The 22,708-nt window shown below is 34.4% G+C and overlaps 1 protein-coding gene across 3 annotated transcripts in view; it reads left to right on the forward strand.

Annotated features, from left to right (window-relative positions):
* Positions 1 to 22,708, forward strand: part of NDFIP2 (Nedd4 family interacting protein 2) — a 74,923-nt gene that overhangs the window by 48,234 nt on the left and 3,981 nt on the right. For 2 of the 3 annotated variants that reach the window (NM_019080.3, NM_001394685.1), the window contains exons 3-7: positions 3,935 to 4,068; positions 10,294 to 10,387; positions 14,170 to 14,294; positions 18,940 to 19,006; positions 21,629 to 21,734. In NM_019080.3, the coding sequence (NP_061953.2) occupies positions 3,935 to 4,068; positions 10,294 to 10,387; positions 14,170 to 14,294; positions 18,940 to 19,006; positions 21,629 to 21,732 (524 nt within the window). In that variant the 3' untranslated portion in view covers positions 21,733 to 21,734. The remainder of the gene's footprint in view (positions 1 to 3,934; positions 4,069 to 10,293; positions 10,388 to 14,169; positions 14,295 to 18,939; positions 19,007 to 21,628; positions 21,735 to 22,708) is intronic. The other variant, NM_001161407.2, reaches the window with a different exon arrangement.

A 22,708-nucleotide genomic window follows, 5' to 3' on the forward strand; every position in this document is an offset into this window, starting at 1 on the left:
ATTATAAAAGATCACATCTCCTTGGATAATGTGTGCCATTGTTCCAGTTTTTAAAATTTACAGTTTTAATGTTACTGCCTTAAAATTTGTAAACATTGTTTTTACTTAGATTTTGCTTCTACTCTTTTAAAACTAAAGAAATCTGTTTACTTGACCACTTACGTTTTTACATCCTGATAATAAATCTTTTCTAAGAATTTGACTCTTGTCTCTTGTGTTTGGTAACATTCAGTATTATACTGCTAGTACCAATTCCATGTGATTAGATTAAAAATGACCTAACTTCAGGTCCTTAGCTCTTATTGATAGCACTAAAAATTGTTTTAAGACCTATATGCATGAAAATACAGTAGAAGTATTGCTAGAGTAAAATGTATTTTTAGGTTGAAAATGCAAGAAATTCTGTTAGACAAAATTGTAAACAAATGTAAAAAAATAAACGCATACTTCAGAAATATTGCTGGTTCATTTTCAGACTACTGAAGTAAAGCGAATATCTCAGTGAAAAGAGTCATATGAATTTTTTGGTTTCCCAGTGCATACAAAAGTTATGTTTACGCTATACTCTTAAGGGTGCAGTAGCATTATGTTTAAAAAATGTACATATCTTAATTTAAAACTTTACTGCTAAAAGATACTAATGATCATCAGAGCTTCAGTGAGTCATAATCTTTTTCCTGGTGGAAGATCTTGCCTCAGTGTTGATGGCTACTGACTGATCAGGGTGGTGGTTGCTGAATATTGGGGTGGCTATGGCAATTTCTTTTCTTTTTTTTTAGAGACAGAATTCAGTGGCGCTTTCATAGCTCACTGTAGTCTTGGATTCCTGGGCTCAAGCAACGCTCCTGCCTCAGCCTCCTGAGTAGCTGGTACTACAGGGACAGCTATTTAAAAAAAAAATTAGTATTTTTAAAGATGGAGTCTCCCCATGTTGCCCAGGCAGGTCTCAAACTCCTGGCCTCAAGTGATCCTTTAGCCTCAGCTTCCCGAGTAGCTGGGATTACAGGTGCCAGCTGCTGTGCCCAGCTCCAGCTGTGGCAATTTGTTAAAATAAGACAGCAATGAAGTTTGCTACATCAATTGACTCTTTGTTTTACAAAAGAATTGTCTGTAGCATGCAGTGCTGTTTATGGCATTTTACCCACACTAGGACTTCTTCCAAAACTGGAGTCAATTCTCTCAATCCCTGCCACTGCTTTGTCAGTTAAACTTATGTAATCTAAGTCCTTTTTTGTCATTTCAACGATGTTCACAGCATCTTCACCAAGAGTATCTCCCATCTCAAGAAATCACTTTCTTTGCTCATCCATAAGAAGCAACTGTTCATTCATTTAAGTTTTACCATGAGATTGCAGCAATTCAGTCACATTTTCAGGCCTCACTTCTGATTCTACTTCTCTTGCTGTTTCTCCCACGTCTGCAATTACTTTCTCCACTGAAGTCTTAAACCCCTCAGTCATCTATGAGGGTTGGAATCAACTTCCAACTCCTGTTAATGTTCATATTTTGACCTTCTCCCATGATCCTGAATGTTTTTAATGCCATCTAGAATAGTGAATCCTTTCCAGAAGCTTTTCAGTTTACTTTGTCCAGATCCATCAGAGAAATCACTATCTGTGGCAGCAATCGTCTTATGAAATATAGCTCTAAAATCATAAGACTTGAAAGTCAGAATGACCCCTTGATCCATGGGCTGCAAAATGGATGTTGTCTTAGTAGGCATGAAAACACCATTAATCTTCTTGTACATCTCCTTCAGAGGTCTTGAGTGACCAGGTGCATTGTCAGTGAGCAGTAATATTTTGAAAGATCTTTTTCTCCTGAGCTTTCAACAGTGGACTTAAAACATTCAGTAAACCATGCTATAAACAGGTGTGCTGTCATTAGGCTTTGTTGTTCCATTTATGGAGCAGAGTAGACTGAGCATAATTCTTAAGGGCTCTATGATCTTCAGAATGGTAAATGAGCATTGGCTTCAACTTAAAGTTCCCAGCTGAATTAAATCCTTATAAGAGAGTCAGCCTGTCCTTTGAAGCTTTGAAACCAGGAATTGACTCCTCTCTAGCTATGAAAGTCCTAGAAGGCATCTTCCAGTAGAAAGCTGTGTCATCTACATTGAAAATCTGTTGTTTAGCATAGCCACCATCATCAATGATCTTAGCTAGATCTTCTGCATAATTTGCTGCAGCTTCTACGTCAGCACTCGCTGCTTCATGTTGCACTTTTATGAAGATGGCTTCTTTGATTTAGCCTTATAAACCAACCTCTGCCAGCTGCCAACTTTTCTTCTTTACCTTCCTCACTTCTCTCAGTCTTCATAGAATTGAAGAGAGTCAGCACCTTGCTCTGAACCAGGCTTTGGCATATAGGAATGTTGTGGCTGGTTTGATCTTCTAACTGGAACTAGAATTTACTCCATATCAGCAATAAAGTAGTTTCCCTTTCTTATTACTCATGTGTTCACTGTAGTAGCACTTTTAATTGCCTTCAGGAACTTTTCCTTTGCATTCATAACTTGGCTGTTTGGAGCAAGAGGTCTGGCTTTCGGTGTATCTTGGCTTTTGCCATGCTGTCCTTGCTAGGCTTGATTGTTTCTAGCTTTTGAATTAGAGTGAGAGACGTGTGACAAAACACGTACAGTGTTTATCAATTAGGTTTCCTGTGTTCTATGGGCACAGTTTGTGGTGCCCCAAAACAATTACAATAGTGACATCAAAGATCGCTAATCACAGATCACCATAAAAGATACAATAGTGGCACTGGAAACATTTGAAATATTGCTAGAAGTACTGGGACAGAGACACAGAGTGAGCACATGCTCTTGGAAAAATGGTGCTGATACACTTGTTCAATGTGGAATTGCCGCCGCAAACCTTCAGTTTGTAAGAAACACAGTATTTGCAAAATGCACAAAAGCAAAGTGTATAAAACCAGGTATGCTTATATAAAACTACTGTTGTTATAATGGAGGAAAATACAAAAGTGATGTCAAACAGTGTGGTGTATGCTACTTTTAGAACCTCCCTTTTTTGTGTGTGTGTCAGTGACTCTAGCATAAGTCTAATGAGTTGATTGACCTGTATAGCACTTTACTTTATTACTTATGTTGTAATAAGTGATGGGTTTTATTTTTAAAATAAGCAGTCTGTATTTTCTATTGTAATGTATTTCTGGAGATTATATTTCAAAAATTGGGGTGAGAAATACTTATAAAAGGAAATCTAAAGAACTAGCTGGATAAAGGAAAAATGGGAAGAGAAAGGGACAAGAGTGGAAAAGTAAAACTTCAATCTTTTAGCAAAGGGAAATACTGAATTTGCTTAAGAGATTAGAGCCGTTGCTGAAATCAAGATGTGTAAAAAAATTACCCCTTGTATGTTATCGGAGCAAAGTATTTGGGGTCAGGAGCTTCCTGTGTCTGCCACTTAAATGTTTAATATTGTGCAAGTAACTTAACTTTCCTGAACCTCAGAGATGCTAAGATCAATGTATACAGAAGTGGTATATGAAATGGTTAGTATTATGTAAATGTTTGTTATTATTACTTTTTCTTTTTGCTTTTTTGGCTGTGAGATAGTGGGCAAGTAAACTAAGTTCTTTGTGCATACTAATAAGCACATAGAGAATACTCATATATTATGAGATTCTTACTTCTCTTGTCTGGCACTCTTTTTCAGAATTTCATTCTAGAGGTTCTTGTTTAGTGTATTAGCCTTTAAACGGTATTTATCCATTCTTTCTCTTTATAATAAATTTGGACTAAAGTAAGATATATGATTGTAATAGTAATTTATATATTTTATAGCTTATAACATAGGCCTATAATAGCAATAGTAGTCCTGTATTGGTGGCCAGTTGTAAATTATTAAGTCATGGCTATGGCTACAAAATTAAATAGATTTTATTGGTTATTCTTTTTGAATTCTTTCTTCAGATACAGAAGTTTACGGTGAGTTTTATCCCGTGCCACCTCCCTATAGCGTTGCTACCTCTCTTCCTACATACGATGAAGCTGAGAAGGCTAAAGCTGCTGCAATGGCAGCTGCAGCAGCAGAAACATCTCAAAGAGTAAGAAAATTTCATCATTTCTTTTGATAAAATTATTTTCGTTAATTGATATATACATTTAGTAATACTAAAAACAGTTCTTTGTGTGTAAGTGTGTATGTAGATTTTTTTTGAGCATTATGGGTTTAAACTGCACAGGTCTACTTGTATGCAGATTGTTTTAAATAAATATATTGGAAAAATATTTTGGAGATCTGCAGCAATTTGAAAAAACTTGGGACAAATTGCATAGCCTAGAAATATCAAAAAAATTAAGAAAAGGCCTGTAATGAATGTATAAAATACATGTAAATAGTAGTTTATGTATTATCGACTGTTTATGTTATCAGTAAGGCTTCTAGTTAACAATAGGCTGTGAGTCGTTAAGTTTTGGGGAAGTCAGAGTTATACTCAAATTTTCTACCGCATGCAGGTGGGTCGGTGTCCCTAACCCGTGTATTGTTGAAGGGTTACTGTATTTGTTCTACTGTTGCTTATGTGTGTGGTCACTTTTTGTTGAAATTGGCATTCTCCTAGTTAAATTCACCTTCTTTATCCCTTGACTTCCTCTTTTCTATTGCTCTTCCCCGCTTATCCCTTCCTAAATTTTGATTTCAGGCCCCTCATGTGTTAGCCTTCACTTCGCATCCTAACTCACTCACTCTGGTTACCACCACTTGGAAAGTTCTTCTCTTTGCCTGGACCTCAAGTCCACTGACCTCTTTGCTGTCCATGTACTTATTTATCTTCTTACATAGTTTGAATTCCATGGCCTATCATTTTAATTGTGAATCATCTTTTTTTCTATTTATGTTTCTATATTAGCATAGCCAGTTTAGTGACTGTGAAAGAACTCAAGGTAGCCAAAAAACACAGAGAAATGTTACAAGGCCTTCAAATTATTTTTGTCAGCTGTTTTTTTTTTTTTTTTTTTTTTTGATAACATTCTACTCTAGAATTTTGGAATGATGATCAAGCATTCTGTCTTCCTCATCTACATGTTTTAGTAATGGAGTTAATGAGATACATGTGTATTACTCTTTGCTCTGGTAAATGGAGTGGCTGTCTCAGTAATGGAGAGTCAGTGAGATACATACACATCTACTATTCTGCAGCCAGGTAAGAGGCAGAAATTATTTACATTTTAGTGTGGCTGCAAGGAGGGCTAGAATTTTTTGCCTTTTTTTTCTTGCTTCAGACTTGAGAGATGCCGTTTCAGATCCCTGGATTCACCCCATTTTGTTCGGGAAAAAGACAAAAAAATCAATTCACCCAGGAAAGCTAGAATTAGGTGAGGAGTCAAGGGAGAGAGATGTGCTTCCATGTATGGCATTCTCCTCTAGCTGCTATGAGGTCAGAGCCCAGCAAGCAGATCCTCTGAGAGAAGAGCATGTGCCCTGAATGTGTTTCTTTGATCAGCAATAACCCTATTTATGCCTGCTCCTACTACCCTCTTCCAGCACACACAGGGTTAAACGTCAACATAAATAGCTTTGGACACAGTTATGAAGGTAGATAAAGACAGTAAACTCCGAATTTATTTTTTATGCCTTTTCCTTCACAGAGGAGGAAAGTAAGTCTCTTAACACAGTGGCATAATATAGCTGAGTCAATAAGAATTTTTGTTGCTTTGAGGGGAACATCACAGAGGAGGAGGATAGATCTAAATAGGGTATTTTTGTCTAAATAAGTTCTCGGTTACTTAGAACACATATATTTGTAAATGAACATGCACATCTCTCAGTGAAGTAGATTGATTCCTCTCTAGCTATGAAAGTCCCAATAACTCCTTTTCTCAGGGGGTGTTTGCCCAGAGACCTTAAGAAGTATTATGGACCGTAGATCATTTACTGCCCTAACTTCCATACAATAGGATAGAATTCTAAAGACAAGGTAGGAAGCATTAAGTCTTGGTAAGTGTGCTTTGAGAAAAGTTGATTTTACCCCTTTTGAAGAGAAAAGTCTGAAGTATTACTGTTCCATTCCCTCATTGTCATCATTTCCAGCACCCTGTTTTAGAAAGTAAATGTAATCCTCAGCCAGAATTGGAACATGTCCATAAAGAAAAGCTCCCTGTTTTTACCTGCTTCTGATATCATTGTAACCCCAGCTTGTGAGCATTGTGGAAAATTTCATAGACAGCAAAGTATTAATAGAATTGTGTACAAGAGACTAACTTAGGTCTTGTAAAAAATCTTATAAATTTACCAGTGCTTCCTAACCCGGTGCTTCAGCACCCTCTTTGTGCAGAGTATGAATGTTTGCATATGAGTCTCCATTACCTGATTGAGATGAAAAATTGGTCAATGCTTGAAAATTGCTAGGAGAGTAGATTTTAAGCGTTCTTGCACAAAAAAAATATTTGAGGTACTGTACATGGTAATTAGCTCAATTTAGCCACTCCACAATGTATACACATTTTAAAACATCATGTAATACATCATAAATATATACAGTTTTTGTCAATTACAAACAAAATTTAAAAATTGAAAAAAAGTCTCATCAAATTAGCATTTGAGTACATTCAGTTGTAAATGAGTCTCAGCTGGGTGAGTTGAAAGCTTGTTTCCTAAATCAACTCTCACTGGGAGAATATAGATAGTCAAGAGACTTTAAAACTACTGTTTTTACTATTTCCTATTTCTGATGTGTAGAATTGCACGTATGTTATGGAATGGTTAAGTAGATTTCTGAAAATGACAACTCATTGTTAATATTTCTATGAAAAATGCTAATTCCAAACTATTAATTTTATAAGATGTTTAGAACATGGCTTGTTCTTCAGGTAGACTCATTTCATCTTATAATGGGTAGGGCTCTTTTTTTGTAACTTGTTTTAAATTGTTGCAGTAACTTGTCTTTTGACTAGATAAATCATGAGCAACACCAGGACAGAGATCTTGCATTTACATTCCCAGTACCTAGTTATTTATCAGGCACATTTTTGTTGTTTAGTCAATGACAGTTGATTAAGTTAATGAATGCTTTCTTTGTGTTAGCCAATGTGGGAAAATAGAAAGAGGAAAACACCACAGGTGTTCTGTTACAGCTCTCTATTTTAAAATATTTTGATGTCTTTACCAATTTCAGGATTCACAAATTAATGTTTAATGTAGTTGAAATTATTGCCTAGATACCATTTTATTTTTTAAACATCTTATATAAATATTTCCCTGTTACTTAATAGTTAAATTCCCTGTAATCAATATGCTATTGAAACTTAGTGGCCATTCCTCTAGAGTGAACAATTATTTTCAAATGTTTGTGTTTCGATTTTTTCTATTAATATTATAAAAGACATCTTTGGGCATATTGCAGTGACTCACTCCTGTAATCTCAGCACTTTGGGAGGCTGAGGCAAGCAGGTTGCTTGAGCTCAGGAGTTTGAGACCAGCCTGGGCAACACAGCGAGACCTTATTTCCACTAAAAAGAAAAAAAAAAATCAGCTAGGTGTGGTGGCATGCACCTGTAGTTCCAGCAACTTGGAAGGCTGAAGTGGGAAGATCACTTGAGCCCAGGAGATTGAGGCTGTAGTGATCCCGGATGAAGACTGCAGTGAGCCATGATTGTGCCACTGCACTCCAGCCTGGGTGAGAGTGAGATCTTGTCTTAATTTTTTTTTTTTTCCTAAATGATGACTTTTGATAAAATTTCTGTATTGATTTTTTGGTGGTGGTTGTTTTGTTTTTGAGGCGCAGTCTCACTCTGTCTCCTAGGCTGGAATGCAGTAGTGCAATCTCAGTTCAGTGCAACCTCCGCCTCCCCAGTTCAAATGATTCTCCTGCCTTAGCCTCTTGAGTAGCTGGGACTACAGGAGCACGCCACCACATCTGGTTAATTTGTTTTTGTATTTTTAGTAGAGATGGGTTTCGCCATGTTGGTCAGGCTAGTCTTGAACTCCTGACTTCAAGTGATCCACCCACCTCGGCCTCCCAAAGTGCTGGGATTACAGGCATGAGCCACTGTACCTGGCCTGGACTGATGTTTTAAAATACACAGTATGAAATATATTTTTGCCATCACACTGACAATTTTTTGTTCTTACTGTGCTTTAATGTTTATTTCTTGAATTAATTTGAAATTATTTAAAATTTTATAAATATGCACTTAGTCATGGCCAGTCATTAAATTTAGTATATTGAGTTTACCTATGATATATGATTGCACAATTTAAGGGATCTTTGTGCCCGAATAATAAGCAATATAAAATGGTTTTGAAAGTTTTTTTATTTCAGGATAGCAGTATGCTTAGTGAGACTACCATGATTGTGTGGAAACAACATCAGTGTCCTGGATTCAAGTTCCACTTTGACCCTCCTAATTATGTGATATTGAGCAGAGCCCTAGCTTCTCAGACTTGGCCTCACAAAATTGAGTTATTCACACTCAACTGAGATGATGTGTACCGTATTAGTCCATTTTCACACTGCTATAAAGAAATACCCAAGACTGGGGAATTTATAAAGAAAAGAGGTTTAATTGACTTACAGTTCTGCAGACTGTATAGGAAGCATAGCAGCTTCTGGGGAGGCCCCAGGAAACTTACGATTGTGGCGGAAGGTGAGGGGGAAGCAGGCCCATTTTACATGGCTGGAGCAGGAGGAAGAGAGAGAGTGAAGGGGTGATGCCACACACTTTTAAACAACCAGATCTCAGAAAAAACAATAATGCACTCACTCACTCTCATGAGAACAGCGCCCAGGAAAATGATGTGAAACCATTAGAAACCACCCCCATGATCCGATCACCTCCTACCAGGCCCAATCTCCAACAGTTGAGGATTACAGTTGAATATGAGATTTGGATGGGGACACAGATCGAACCATATAATTCTGTCCCTGGCCTCTCCCAGATCTCATGTCCTTCTCACATTTCAAAATACAACCATGCCTTCCCAAGAGTCCCCCAGAATCTTATTCCAGCATTAACTCAAAGAGTCAACAATCCAAAGCCTCATCTGAGACAAGGCAAGTCCCTTCCACCCACGGGCCTGTAAAATCAAAAACAAGCTAATTACTTCTAAGATAAAATGGCACTATAGGCATTGGGTAAATATGCTGGTTCCAAAAGGGAGAAATTGGCCAACAAAAGGGGATACAAGCCCCATGGAAGACCGAAACCAAGCCTGACAGTCATTAAATCCTAAAGTTCCAAGATAATATTTTTTTGAGACGGTCTCACTGTCGCCCAGACTGGAGTGCAGCGGTGTGATCTCGGCTCACTGCAGCTGCTACCTCCCGAGTTCAAGCGATTCTCATGCCTCAGCCTCCTGAGTAGCTGGGATTACAGGCATGTGCCACCATACCTGGCTAATTTTTGTATTTTTAGTAGAGGCAGGGTTTCACCATGCTGGCCAGGCAGGTCTTGAACTCCTGGCCTGAAGTGATCCACCTGTCTTGGCCTTCCAAAGTGTGAGATTATAGGCGTGAGCCACAGCGCCTGGCCAGAATAATCTTTGACTCCACGTCTCACATCCAGGGCTTACTGGTACAAGGGGTGGGCTTCCCAGGCCTTGGGTAGCTCTGCCCCTGAGGCTTTGCAGTGTACAGCTCTGTGGCTGCTTGAGGGACTGGCATCGAATGCCGGCAGCTTTTCCAGAAAAAAGGCCACCAATGCCTCTACCTGGAAGACATGTAGAAACATGATAGACTTGGGGAGAATTGTCTCCTAACATAGTCTGCTGTTGATGGGCATTTAGATTGTATCTAATCTTTTGCTCTTATTAACATTGCTGGAATGAATTATCTTTAATACATCATTTTTATAAGAGGGAATATGTGTGTGTGTGTATACATATATATATATGTGCAGTGTATTTTAAGAACTGGAATTGCTGGATCATAGGGTATGCACATTTTTATTTTTGATAATTATTGCAAAATTGCCAACAATATAAGTTGTACCAATTTATACTCCACCACTGGTTATGAAAGTTCTTATTTCCCAGTCATTACTAATGGAGCACTGTCACATGTATCTTCTTGATACCATTTTTATGAGTTTGATGTTATTCATCTTTTATCTTTTTTGTGTTTATCTTTAAAGTTACTCTTTTCAAATGTGACTGTGAAAAAATATTAGTTGCTAATGCTTATTGATTACTCTGTGCCAGACATTGTACTCATTATTGCATTTGTCTATACAACAAATTGAGAACATTAGATGTTGCTGAAGTTCTTATGCTTACATTTAAGATGATAAAGTTGTAATTTTTAGTGAGCTATTCCAATGTTACATATTTACAGATTCAGGAGGAAGAGTGTCCACCAAGAGATGACTTCAGTGATGCAGACCAGCTCAGAGTGGGGAATGATGGCATTTTCATGCTGGCATTTTTCAGTAAGTAATCTTCCTAAACTATTTTGGGTTGTTTTTATGAATTGGCTGTATGTGTATTAAAGTAACATAGTGAAGAGAAGCAAATATTGTTAGCATATGTCTACCTTTCTTAAAATGTAAATTGTTCCTGATATTGGACTAATGAATACTGTGATCATATGTTTAAATACAAATCCTAGAATTTATCAAACTCTTGTTGGATAAATTTATGCGTTGCAGCCATTATGAAGATGCTGACATGTAAAAGTACATAAGCATATTTAAGCTATTTCAGATTTTTAAAGAGAAATACTGCTATATTGGTGCCCATTCAGCTCTGTAGGAGCGTATAGAATGAAACTATAAATTGCACTATTGGGGCAGAGGATTTCCATTTGAGTGTCCTTAAGCTAGAAGAAGGATTGGAAAAACAGATATTCTGGGCAACTGGAACAGTGTCACTTGGGACAGACAGTTATGAAAGTATAAGTCTTATTTGGGGGAATGTTAAGTAGTTAGAAGATCAGAAACAGTAACATTTTAACATCTTGCAGAATTCTTAGTATTTGACTTATAAAGTAAATTTAATCTTCTTGAGGGAAGACTGTGTCAAAGTCTTCATTATTTCAATTCATAATACAGGGATTGACATAGTAAACTCATTAAATAATAAGATGCCCAATCAACTGTTTAAATTACTAAAGCCAGTGGTAGAAACCCAATATTCATTTAAGTAAGTTTATTAGTCTATGATATAGTTAATTTCTGCCCTCAATCTGGTTAAATGATCAAGCTTTCATTCTTGGATAGAATGCTGATTTAATTCAATTTAGTTAAAAGCTTTATTATGATCATAAAACCGAGAAATAATTTACTTATTTAAAGTGCCACATTCAGCTTTAAAAAGTAGAAAATACAGCCTTCGTGAGTTGTCACTTTTGAGTCTGAAAGTCCATGTAAACCCTGTCCTCCAAGTTTGAAATGGTTTCTTGCTTCCCTTCTATTTTCATCTGCTGAAGAAAAGACGGGGAGGGGAATGAGCAAGGAGGGCAGACAGCTCCTCAAATTTACTAATTGTAATGTTCACGTTGTCAACCAGCTAATGTATATGCAAGATTTAAATCTTAAATTGGTTTTAGTTACAATTTCTAGTTATATAATGTTAGGTATAATAAAAAGGAAATAAACTGTGGTTACAAATGAGTGCTGTTTTGTAATATTAGTCCTGTGAACCTTGGTTTTTATCTTAATTTTGGTTTAACTGGTAATCCTATATATTAATAACATTTTAATAACAAACTTCTCACAGTTTGTTTACAAAAAAGAGTAGCTTAAACATTCATTACTTTCATTGTTATTATACCTTTTAAGAAACCTTAATTAGAAAGGAAAGGATCTAAATATATTGTATTATTTTTAGTATAAATACCTGGTTCTGGGGAATAAAAACATGTTATTTGACACCTTCTAATTATGCAACTCAGAAGTCTTATTTCTCCGTTTATTTCACTTACCACCAGTATCTTCTTTTTAATTTTAATTTTTTAGATTTGAAGCCCTTTCACTGATGTGTTATAAATGCATGGTAACTTAGACACACTGGATGACTTTATTCTTAGCCAGTGGTAGTATATTAGTTAATATAATGTAAATGTATATATTTATATTTAATAGATTTAATATATATTTTACTAAATTTTTACTAAATTGTTTCCACAACTTATATATTTAATGCTTCCTGTTTTACAAATATTGTACCAACATTATAACAGTAAATTTATATTTTTACCTGTATTTCCTGATTTTTTTTTCTGGCAGGCTATAGGCCTAGAGTTTATTTGCTTGATAAGCATAGATTTGTTTGTCATCACTACCATCTAGTGGCTGTTTTTCAAATTGCAACTTGCTATATTTTCCGTGTTTCTTAAATATCTAATAGCTACTGTGGGTAAAAAGGTCCAGAAATAGATTTTATTTTTAGTGTGGTTTAATTATAACTTAAGCATTTCAGGTTATATAACTTGCACAAGTAAAATTACAGTGAATATCAATAAGACTATTTCAATTAAAACCTTTTGGTGGCTTAATTCTTTCCTTCTTTATTTTCAGTGTTTTACCTCACATAACCTAAAAAAAGTTTACACTTAAATTTGGTAAGATAATTGCATATTCTTGTTCAGAAAATGTAAAAGAAGAAATGTTTGTAATAATGCTTTTGCTTCTCAAAATCCTTTTAAAGTGTTACCATAAAATGCCTCAGATACATGCCTAATGTGCATATCTCTGATCTTATTTTTAAGAAATTTTCTAAGAGAATGGAACAGAATTTGGTTATTTGCCAAATACTAGAAATGAAAAGTTTATGGATAATTGACAGTCTATGGAAATGACCTTAAATTTTAGTACTTCAAAATGTAATGGGCTCTTATTTGATCCTGTTTAGAAAACTTTTCTTCTGAGGTTTAGCCATTTGTACCGTGTGTGAATCTTCACATCAGCATGCCATGATAATAAGTAATCACCTGCATTATTATCATTTTAGACTTGAGGGAAACAGAAAGAGAAGGTATTTGTAACCTTAAAATAATTAGAAGGGTGTTTTGAAATGTGAATTCTGATTTGTAAGAAATTGCCAAACTGTCTTCCAAAGTGGCTGTACTATTTTGCATTCCCACCAGCAATGAATGAGAGTTCCTGTTGCTCTGTGTCCTTGCCCGTATTTGGTGTTGATGGTTTTTTTGTGTTGTTCTGTTTTTTGTTTTTTTTTTCAGACATTCTAATAGTTTGGTGATGGTATCTTATTGTGGTTTAATTTTTATTTCCCTAACAATTGATGTTAAGCATCTTTATTCAGTTTATTCTTTTGAGCACCTACCATATACAAGTCAAAAAGTTACAGTTTTTAAAGGGGTTATCTGGACACTACACATCTTGACACATCTTGGAAAACAAAACATTGATGTCTTATTCTGTCCACAAAAAGCTGTTTTTTATATAGCTTTTACATGACATTACATAGCATAAGTAAATTCAGAAAAGGAACATCTAAGAATTGTAATTACAGCTGAGGAAACCCATAAAGTATTTGTCAAGTATTCAATTTTATTGTTTTGTTTACCTTTTTTTTCCTTTTTTTTTTTGAGCCGGAGTCTTGCTCTGTTGCCCACATTCCAGTGCAGTGGCGTGATCTTGGCCCACTGCAACCTCTACCTCCCAGGTTCAAGCAATTCTCCTGCCTCAGCTTCCCAAGTAGCTGGGATTACAGGTGCCCACCACCACACCCGGCTAATTTTTATATTTTTAGTAGAGACAGGGTTTCACCATGTTGGCCAGGCTGGTCTCGAACTCCTGACCTCAGCTGATCCCCCTGCCTTGGCCTCCCAAAGTGCTGGGATTACAGGCATGAGCCACTGTGCCTGGCCTGCTTTACCTTTTTTAAAAAGCCAATTTTGTTGGCTGATTGCTTAGGCTGGACTTCTTGGGTGGAACCACATGTGAGATACATTGTGATCTGGTTTTAAGCTAGTTTATAACTGCAGTTACAACCATTAATGATAAGCTTTCAGGAATGGATTCCTGTTGGCCAAACTGACAAGAAACCAAGCTTACCCATTTGTTGATATACAGTATAGCAAATAAGCCATTTGCAAAAAGTAGGCTATAGTCTATAAAGAAGGCTTAATTGGCAGAGTTAAAAGAAAGGGAGCTGCTGTTTCCATTGAGCCATGAAATATTATTAATATGTCTATGTTAATTTGTTTCCAAATTGTGGTTTATAAAAGAACGGTTTCTGTTGCTTTTAGTGGCATTTATTTTCAACTGGCTTGGATTTTGTTTATCCTTCTGTATCACCAATACCATAGCTGGAAGGTATGGTGCTATCTGCGGATTTGGCCTTTCCTTGATCAAATGGATCCTTATTGTCAGGGTGAGTGTCTTGATAGCCTGTATCTCTTTTATCTCTAAAATGAGATGTATGAAATTTTCTGTGTGGTTCATAAATGGTCACTTTATTTTCATGAATTCAGTTATTTCAAGGCTTATTCTTAAATCCTATACTTAATCATTATAGTGAGCTCTGTGGTATGAACACTTTATAACTTTATCATATGAGAAGTTGTTAATATAGTGGAAAGAACTTTGAAATAATAAAAATTTAAGTTTGAATCTCATCTTTTTTATATGTCTTAACTTTATTTAATTGTTCTGAGCATTAGTTTCTTTATAATAGGCTGATAATAGCTGCCTTGTAGGATTTTTATGAGGTATGGAAATAATGTAATTAAAGTACCTTATCCAGTTACTGCACAAATATATGTGCTCAGTAAATCATGGCTACTATTATTGTGATATAGTGCAGGTATGCCTAAATTAAGTTAAAACATAAAAATTTCTCGTTTAGTCACATTATCATGACCTTAAATATCTTCTCACTGTTTTCTTTTGAAAACATTGAGAGCTCAAAAGTGAAGGCCTGTGAAGTGGTTATCAGAACTCTTTTTTTCCCTCATGCTTCTTCTAACCTTCCTTATTTTCCTGTTGTTCCCTGAAGTCACCCCCTGCCTTCTTATAATTTACAAGATAGTGCGTAGGGAGACAAGTTCCCCATCTTAACAACTTTTCTAGTCTCCAGATAGTTTTCTGTAAAAATTGCATAGGCATTAGTGTTGTTCGCATAATCATCCCCCAGCCTTTTGAAGGCCTCTTTTGACTTCTTTTTACAAATGTTTCTTCCTAGTTTTTTTTTTTTTTAACTGTAAGATCTAGGAGAATGATCAAGAGTGCTTTACTTACTGTTGTAATAAGTCTTTTGAAAAATTACCTACACATTTTAAATGCTGTTATACAATTAATAAATTAAAATACATACATTCTACATTTAAACATTGATTTCTAATTGAATGAGCTAAATCCTCCTAAAATTTTTAGTAGAATCATAGATCAAATATATTAGCTTCTCTTAAATGTTCACTTTAATAATATATATTATGAAGTTGATTTAAAAGTACCCACTATGAAAATATTAATGTTTATGGATGTAATGCATTTCTTCATTATTTTAAAACTTATAGCTTTCCAGGGTTTCAGTAATCCATAGGTTTTGATTATTAATCAGTTAATTCTTGGTTGGGACCTATGGACTGGTTTCTTCTAAGATAGTTAAAATTTGAGCCATCATTAGAACTATCCCCTGACAATTTCTTGTTTTAATTTTATTGCAAAAGATGTACAGTGGGTTCCTAACACAAGTATAAATCTATTAGCTGTTACAGAACATACAAAGATAAAGGCACAGTCCCTTCCCTTATAGAAATTATTATTAAAAAAACCTCAAAGTTGGGCCTAGATAAGTCCAATGTTGATTATGATACTAATAGAATTAAGCACTATTATTCAAATGGGATTTCTCATCTAAATCACAGAACATAGAAAATGATATGAGGACTGTTTTCTCAATTCTCCCTGTTAGTAAATTGCTAGTATCATTCTAGATGTGTAAGAAAGAAGTTAATGCATCTTATACAACTTATGTCCTTAAAGTATTACAGCTTAATTTTCTCATAAGAACCTCAGGTTGAGAAGGGATTAGATTATCTAGTTATCACCTCTAGTTGATGTGATAAGATGGGGAACTTAAATTCAAAGACTAGAGTTTCTTACAGTTTTGTAAGGTAAATACTGTCATCAAGTTTGATCACCAGGACTGTTTAGTTTCCCTTAAAATACTTTTACTGAGTTAGAGTTAATGTTATGCCTTTAGTGTGTACTAAGAAGTGTTATAAGAAAAGGACTTAAAAAAATCTTTTGTATAAAATAACAATAACTGCCATTCATTTAACCCTTAGTGTATGCCAGGCATAATTTGTTACAAGCAACGAATTTTCAAACTTTAACTGTATCTCTGATGCTGGTGATGATCTAGCCATTTTATTGGTGATGAAACTAAGAATAAAAAGAGTCAAATAATTTGCTCAAGGTCCCACAGTTGTTTTTTTTGTGGAGACGGGGTCTCACTCTGTCGCCCAGGCTGGAGTGCAGTGGTGCCATCTTGGCTCACTGCAACCTCCGCCTCCCGGGTTCAAGCAATTCTCCTGCCTCATCCTCCAAGTAGCTGGGACCATGGGCACATGCCTCCACGCCTGGCTAATTTTTTGTATTTTTGTAGAGACAGGGTTTCACCGCGTTGCCCAGGCTGATCTCAAGCTCAGGCAATCTGCCTGCCTTGGCCTCCCAAAGTGCTAGGATTACAGGCGTGAGCCACCGCGCCAGGCCAGTCTCACAGTTTTTAATGTGAATTGACATCTACCTTGGTCTCAATTCATTGCCTATTTTCCTATTTCTGTACTGCCTCTGTTACACTGTACTTTGACTTTTACTATAATGCTCCAAGTAAAACATTCCTCTTAGAGTTTAGTGCTGAGAGAAAAGTTTTCTCCTAAAAACCTGGTGTTCCCTTTCATTAGACAATAAGTAATTTATAAATCATACTGCCGCTGTCCATTTTGTATCTGAGCTGCGATGAACCTCGGATTTTGTGTAAATATCTTTAGCCTAGCCTTCTGATACTACTTCTATCTAAGGTTTTTTATTATGTGGTTAAAAATACATATGTGTTTTATTAAAAACTAACAAAGTACATTTTGAAAGTAGACAGGATGTAAACAATGAAATAGTGATGTTACATTAATATAATAAAATCAGATGAATTCATAATGTTCATTAATTTATTTTCCAAAATTTGATTTCTCTAGCCTGTGACTGGCCAATCAACATGATTGGTTTACTTATATGAAAAAAACAACAGTTGGCTTAGGCTTATGATTTTAGTATTTTAAAACATTTTTGCTAACACAGTAATGAGTCCAAAAGCATTTCTTTATCCTTTTTACATAGCAAATCCTTCTCTTTGACATCAGGGTGAAGGTAATTATATTTTTCACTAGGGAGTAAATAAGAACTAGTTTTATGGTAAACATTTTTGGTGAAGAATGACTGTTCTTGATGTTCAGGTTACCTGTTACTGGGTAACACGCAGAAATTTAAAAAATGTATTGCCTTTGTTCTTTATTCTTTTTTGTTCTTACAGCCTTTAAGACCTATATGAAAATGTTGTATTTCTAACTGTTAATCACTTGACTAAAAAATAGTATAGTACCATCCTGTATAAGCTGTATCTTTTCAATTTCAAGTCCCTCCTTCATTGTACATATATTTTAAAGATGTAGGTGTACATGGGATTTATGTTTTTAGTAGTACTTTGAAATTTTAAATCTCTGAAATTACTATAAATTTTAAAAAATTACTATAAAATTTAAAATATGAAATTACTATAAATACTGAAATTACTATAAATGGTTTATTTATTAATTGGAAATACTTCCTGAGAAAATACTTAAAAGGCTATAAAAAACAGACTTAGATAATCTTTATTTGATATGCTTACTAAATGATAACATTATTTACAATTTGTAAGCATTTTTTATTTTTGCCACAGCCTAGGATTTTTAAGCTTATATAGAAATTACCAACAAATAATTGGAAATCTTTACTTATAAAGTTACAAATACTTTTAGTTAGTATTAGATTTGAGAGCAAGTCTGCATTTAGTGGAATCATTTTTAGTTACATCAGATTCAGTTTGCAGACCAGTGGAAACAGGGTGGGTAAACACAAGCTAATTTTTAACAGTTTTAGAGTAGGTTATATTAAACACTTTTTAAAAAGTAATCATTTGAGGCATTGTTTTAGGTGCTAAAGTTATCTGAAGTAACTGAAGAAAATTAGATTGATTTTTTAAAAAACCTTTTAAAATTAATGAAGTGTGATGTCTAGAGTCTAATCAAGGAAAGGATAACTGTGTCCAATATCATCAAATTCTGCCTTCCATCTGCCTGTTCATATTCCCACACCACGGAGAATATAAAACTGTCTACCATGGCCACTAATAGGAACTGTTGAAATGCCACTTTAAGGTTCATTTAGCTGTTCTCAGCTCTCTGTTGGGAACTGAATGCTAGAGCATCTAGTTTGAAAATAAAAAGACTCTAATGGGGGTCTTTATGCACCTAGTATTTTTGGCAGTGATTAACAGTAGGGGGTGTACAGAAGGTCAAAAGCTCTTCTTTTGGAGGTCAGCAGAACACCCCCATCTGATAAGATTAAACTAATGTGGCTTTTGGTGTTAATATCTGAAGCAGCGGGTTGCTGTAGTGTGTTTGGGATGGTAGTTGTGGTTTTGAGAGATTATGAAAAAAGGACTGACGTGAAATTTCTAATAAGAAAATGTGTGATTCAGACATACAGCATTTACTGTTTCTTGCGGGGAGTTTGAAACTGGTTTTTGTTTCTAAAAATACTCCAATTTTTTTTTTGCTATTGCATAAGATGATTTTTTCTCAAATAATTTATATATGTGTATGCTGTGTATGCCATTAAGTGTTTTTATTTTTCCTTTGTGCCATTTTTAAGTGTTAAAGATTATTTGAAGTAAATCATTATGAAACTGAAGATAATTTATGATTTTCAAATTCAGGTGTATGAATTCGGTTAATATATTTATGTTCACTCCATAGTTTTCTGATTATTTTACTGGATATTTCAATGGACAGTATTGGCTTTGGTGGATATTTCTTGTACTTGGTAAGTTTATTCTTAATGCATTTAGTTTAACTTGGATATTTCCAAAAACTGTAAGATGTAAATAAACTGTGTTGCAATTTATGTGGAAATTATTTTTCTTCTGTAAAATTCTCATATTCAAACACATCATCTCACGTTTTTAAACTATTCTATATAGCACTACAGATTTCTTAGATTTAAAATCCAGAGGCTATCAGTGTAAAGAGTCAGTGGCGGGATGATAATTGAATGCTAAAAAATTTTAAAATAACAACGTGATAAAAAATTGTCTTTAGCATTTATCTCAGAAAACATACACAAATGACTTCTTTTAATGATCTTAGGAAATTTGAGAGTTGGATAGTTTGGTTGTTCTATCTGTTCTCTTATTTTTTGATCATGGAAACATTCTTTATGCTTTTGAAATGTGCCTTGAATTAATCATTAATCAGCCAGGCATAAGGAAAGGCTTTATGCCTAATGATCACAGTGCTTCTGTTGAGTTGTCTTCCTATAAGACGTGTCTTTTTATTAATATTGATGGAATTTTATGGATTTTCAATTTTTGTTCCCTTTTGTTTTTTACCTTCAATGTGAGATAATTAAGTTAATCATTAAATCACATTATATCTTTAATCCACATTTCAGATGTATTTGCTGACATAAGGAATACCTTTTGTTTCTAGTTAAGAGTAAAAGCCCATGTTTCACTCAGAATTTTACCAGAAAATAACAGCATTTCAGTAGGTGGCAGTCTTCTCTCTGAGTTTTTATTTAGTCATACTGTTGGATCTTTAGGATCTTTTGGGAAACAAATTATTGTTAGTCAGATAAGGTCACTTAATTCTTTAATAGCTATATTGAAATTATTTTAGTGTTGTGACTTTGTTGAGATGCATCTGGAGGTGAAGCCAGTTTTATATTATGTGTTCTAACTGCCTGAATGCCGTGTTCTTTATTGAGTTTCTTACCTAAAAGTGAGAAGGTTTATAAAGTCTATTAAGTATTTAAGCATATTAAATGAGTACATTTGTGTGTATATATATATTATTTAGAGATTGGAGGAATCTTAAGGAGGTTAGTGTGGGGCAGAGTAGAATACAGAGGACAATGCCAGTTCCACTTCAGAGCCATAATCTAGTGTTTATTTATTTAGGGGAATGTGAAAATGTAATCAGTGATAAAAATGTTGCTCTCACATATGCTGAAAAGAATGTTGAGCACTTTGTAGAATGCTGAGAAACAGTAGCCACTGAGCGATTGGTTTTTAGGTATGAACTGGGTGGCTTCTTTTAGAAAATGCCTGAGAAGTAAAATGTGTGTTAGAAAACAGCAGCTTTAGAGACAAAGGAAGGGATCCCACAAATAAGTTGGTTTACATTTTTCAATAATATTTTTACATTTGGATAACAGTATTATTATCTTTGAACAGCATCTGGAAGGGCATGAGGGTGGAATTCAGAAGGAGTCCCAAAAGGAGGGAGTTAGGATATGGGAAGCAGATGCGATTGGGTTTAGCTGTAATTTATACCATTTAAGTCATCATTTGTATCTCTCTTCTGTCTTTCCTCTCCAATTTACTACACACATGCTTCTTGTTTTTAGTGATTTGATTACTGTCTTGCAGTTGGGGTACAAATTTAGTTTGAGACTTCATATTTTAAATTCACAAACTCCTTTTCCTCCTGGTGAGGAAAGTCATACACATACAGTAGATATCTTCTGTTTTTGTTTTTGGATCCCCCCCACCCTGTTTTCCTGGTTAAAAATTTGCTGGAGTTAATAAATGTTTCCCTAAGAATCATATGCTTAAGTATTTCAAAGGCTTATACTAGTAATGGTAATGTTTTATACTTATCTAATATTTTTTATGTGAAACTTTAGAGAATTTTACAGGTATTGCTTTTTAAATTATTAAATATATTTGTGGTTGTTATTTTAAAATACTACTTTACAAAGGAGAAAACTGAGGTAGATATAAGATGTATCCCAAATAATCTAAATCATTAGAGTGACTGTCTTCCAAGTTGTCTTTTCTAACTCATCTTAATTTTTTATTATAAGTTAGTTTTTTATTATTACTTCAAAATAAGAACTCATAATTAAAAATATGTACATAATGCACGTATCTTCAAATACAGATTTCACAGATGACAGGCACTTGATATTACTATACAGGCTTATTGTTTTTTTCCTCATAATTGTTAGTAACCTCATGTATATATTTCCTTTTTATCTACTTTATATAAATAAATATGTCTTAGTTCACCCAGTAGTTATATTAATTGAAAAGATTGAGCCCATGGGTTCAATGGGGTTTTTATGAGTTGAATCAGTTTAAGTGCGTCAGGTAACTTTACTATTGAAGAAAATCACTTAAATGTATATTTTTATGTAATTCTGGATTTTTATAGCTAGATTTGCTTTAATTTTGGTACATCTAGGCTTAACAAATTGAAAAATTGTATTTCCTTGTGACAGAGTTTATCCTTATAGTGTAAAATATATTACAGAAATGAATGGAAGTCTGCAAGTAAAATTCCTTAAGCCAAGAGGATCTTGTTTATAATTGTCTACTTTAAATTTATCTTGCCCTTTTCTGTATAAAAACATAGTATATCCATATTATTTCAACCTTCTCAGGCCTGCTCCTTTTCTTCAGAGGATTTGTTAATTATCTAAAAGTCAGAAACATGTCTGAAAGTATGGCAGCTGCTCATAGAACAAGGTATTTCTTCTTATTGTAGAGGTAAGAAATATTAATCTGTGAACTCTGCCTATTCCCTTTATGTATTCAAATTTGCCAGATACATATTAAATGCCTAATGTGTATTCATGATTTTTACTGTTAGCATATTTAATATTTTTTAATACTGCTAACAGTCAGCTTATTGAAATTTGATAAGTCATAGACCTTTTTAGATAACTTTTAGATTTTTAAAATTGAATTTCATAAATTTTAATTTTTAAAATACATAGCGAGTGAACTGAAATTTTGAATCAGACTTTTAAAACTTCTCTTTAAAGATTAACCATAGAATGTATATGAAGTAACCACCAGCACAAAATTTGAAGGCTTGAAAAAACAAAATATGACATAGTACTTAGACCGAAGGAATGAGCATTTTTGTCTAAAACAATATGAAATTCACATAGACATCTGGTGGAGAAAAAAATCTGATTGAAAAACAATTTGTCTTGCAGTCCTTTTAACAGTCTGGATTAAGGAATAAAAGTCATGTGAAGAAAATAGTTCTGTTATTGTTTTCTTAATGTGTGCTGATTTTTTATCAACTATGAAGGCTACAACTTGAATAAGTAGGAATATGAAGAAATGAGTAGAAGTTGTCTTACTGGTTATCCAGTGAATTTCTGGAGGTCGTGGGTATAGTAATAGTATTTATTTATTGTTCAGCGGGAGTATCTTCACATAAAGTAACCTCATACTCCCTATTCTACTTTTTAAAGCAAGTACCATGTACTTTATACCTATAAATAAGGTAAACTTATAAAGCATTTGAACTCTATTACCAAAATGTCTACTAGTACTTAACTTCTGAATGCAGGACTATAAGGAACAAAGTGTTTCAAGTTTATTAAGTATTCTTTTTTCAAATAAATAAACTGCATGCTTTGTGATTTGGTTGCTTACATTTTATCATTTATATAAGTTATACATAAGCTTATATAATTTACTTATTTCTGCTAGAGTACTATGAATAC

The sequence above is a fragment of the Homo sapiens genome, chromosome 13 (assembly GCF_000001405.40).
Source record: "Homo sapiens chromosome 13, GRCh38.p14 Primary Assembly".
In the NCBI taxonomy this organism is placed as follows: Eukaryota; Metazoa; Chordata; class Mammalia; order Primates; family Hominidae; genus Homo; species Homo sapiens.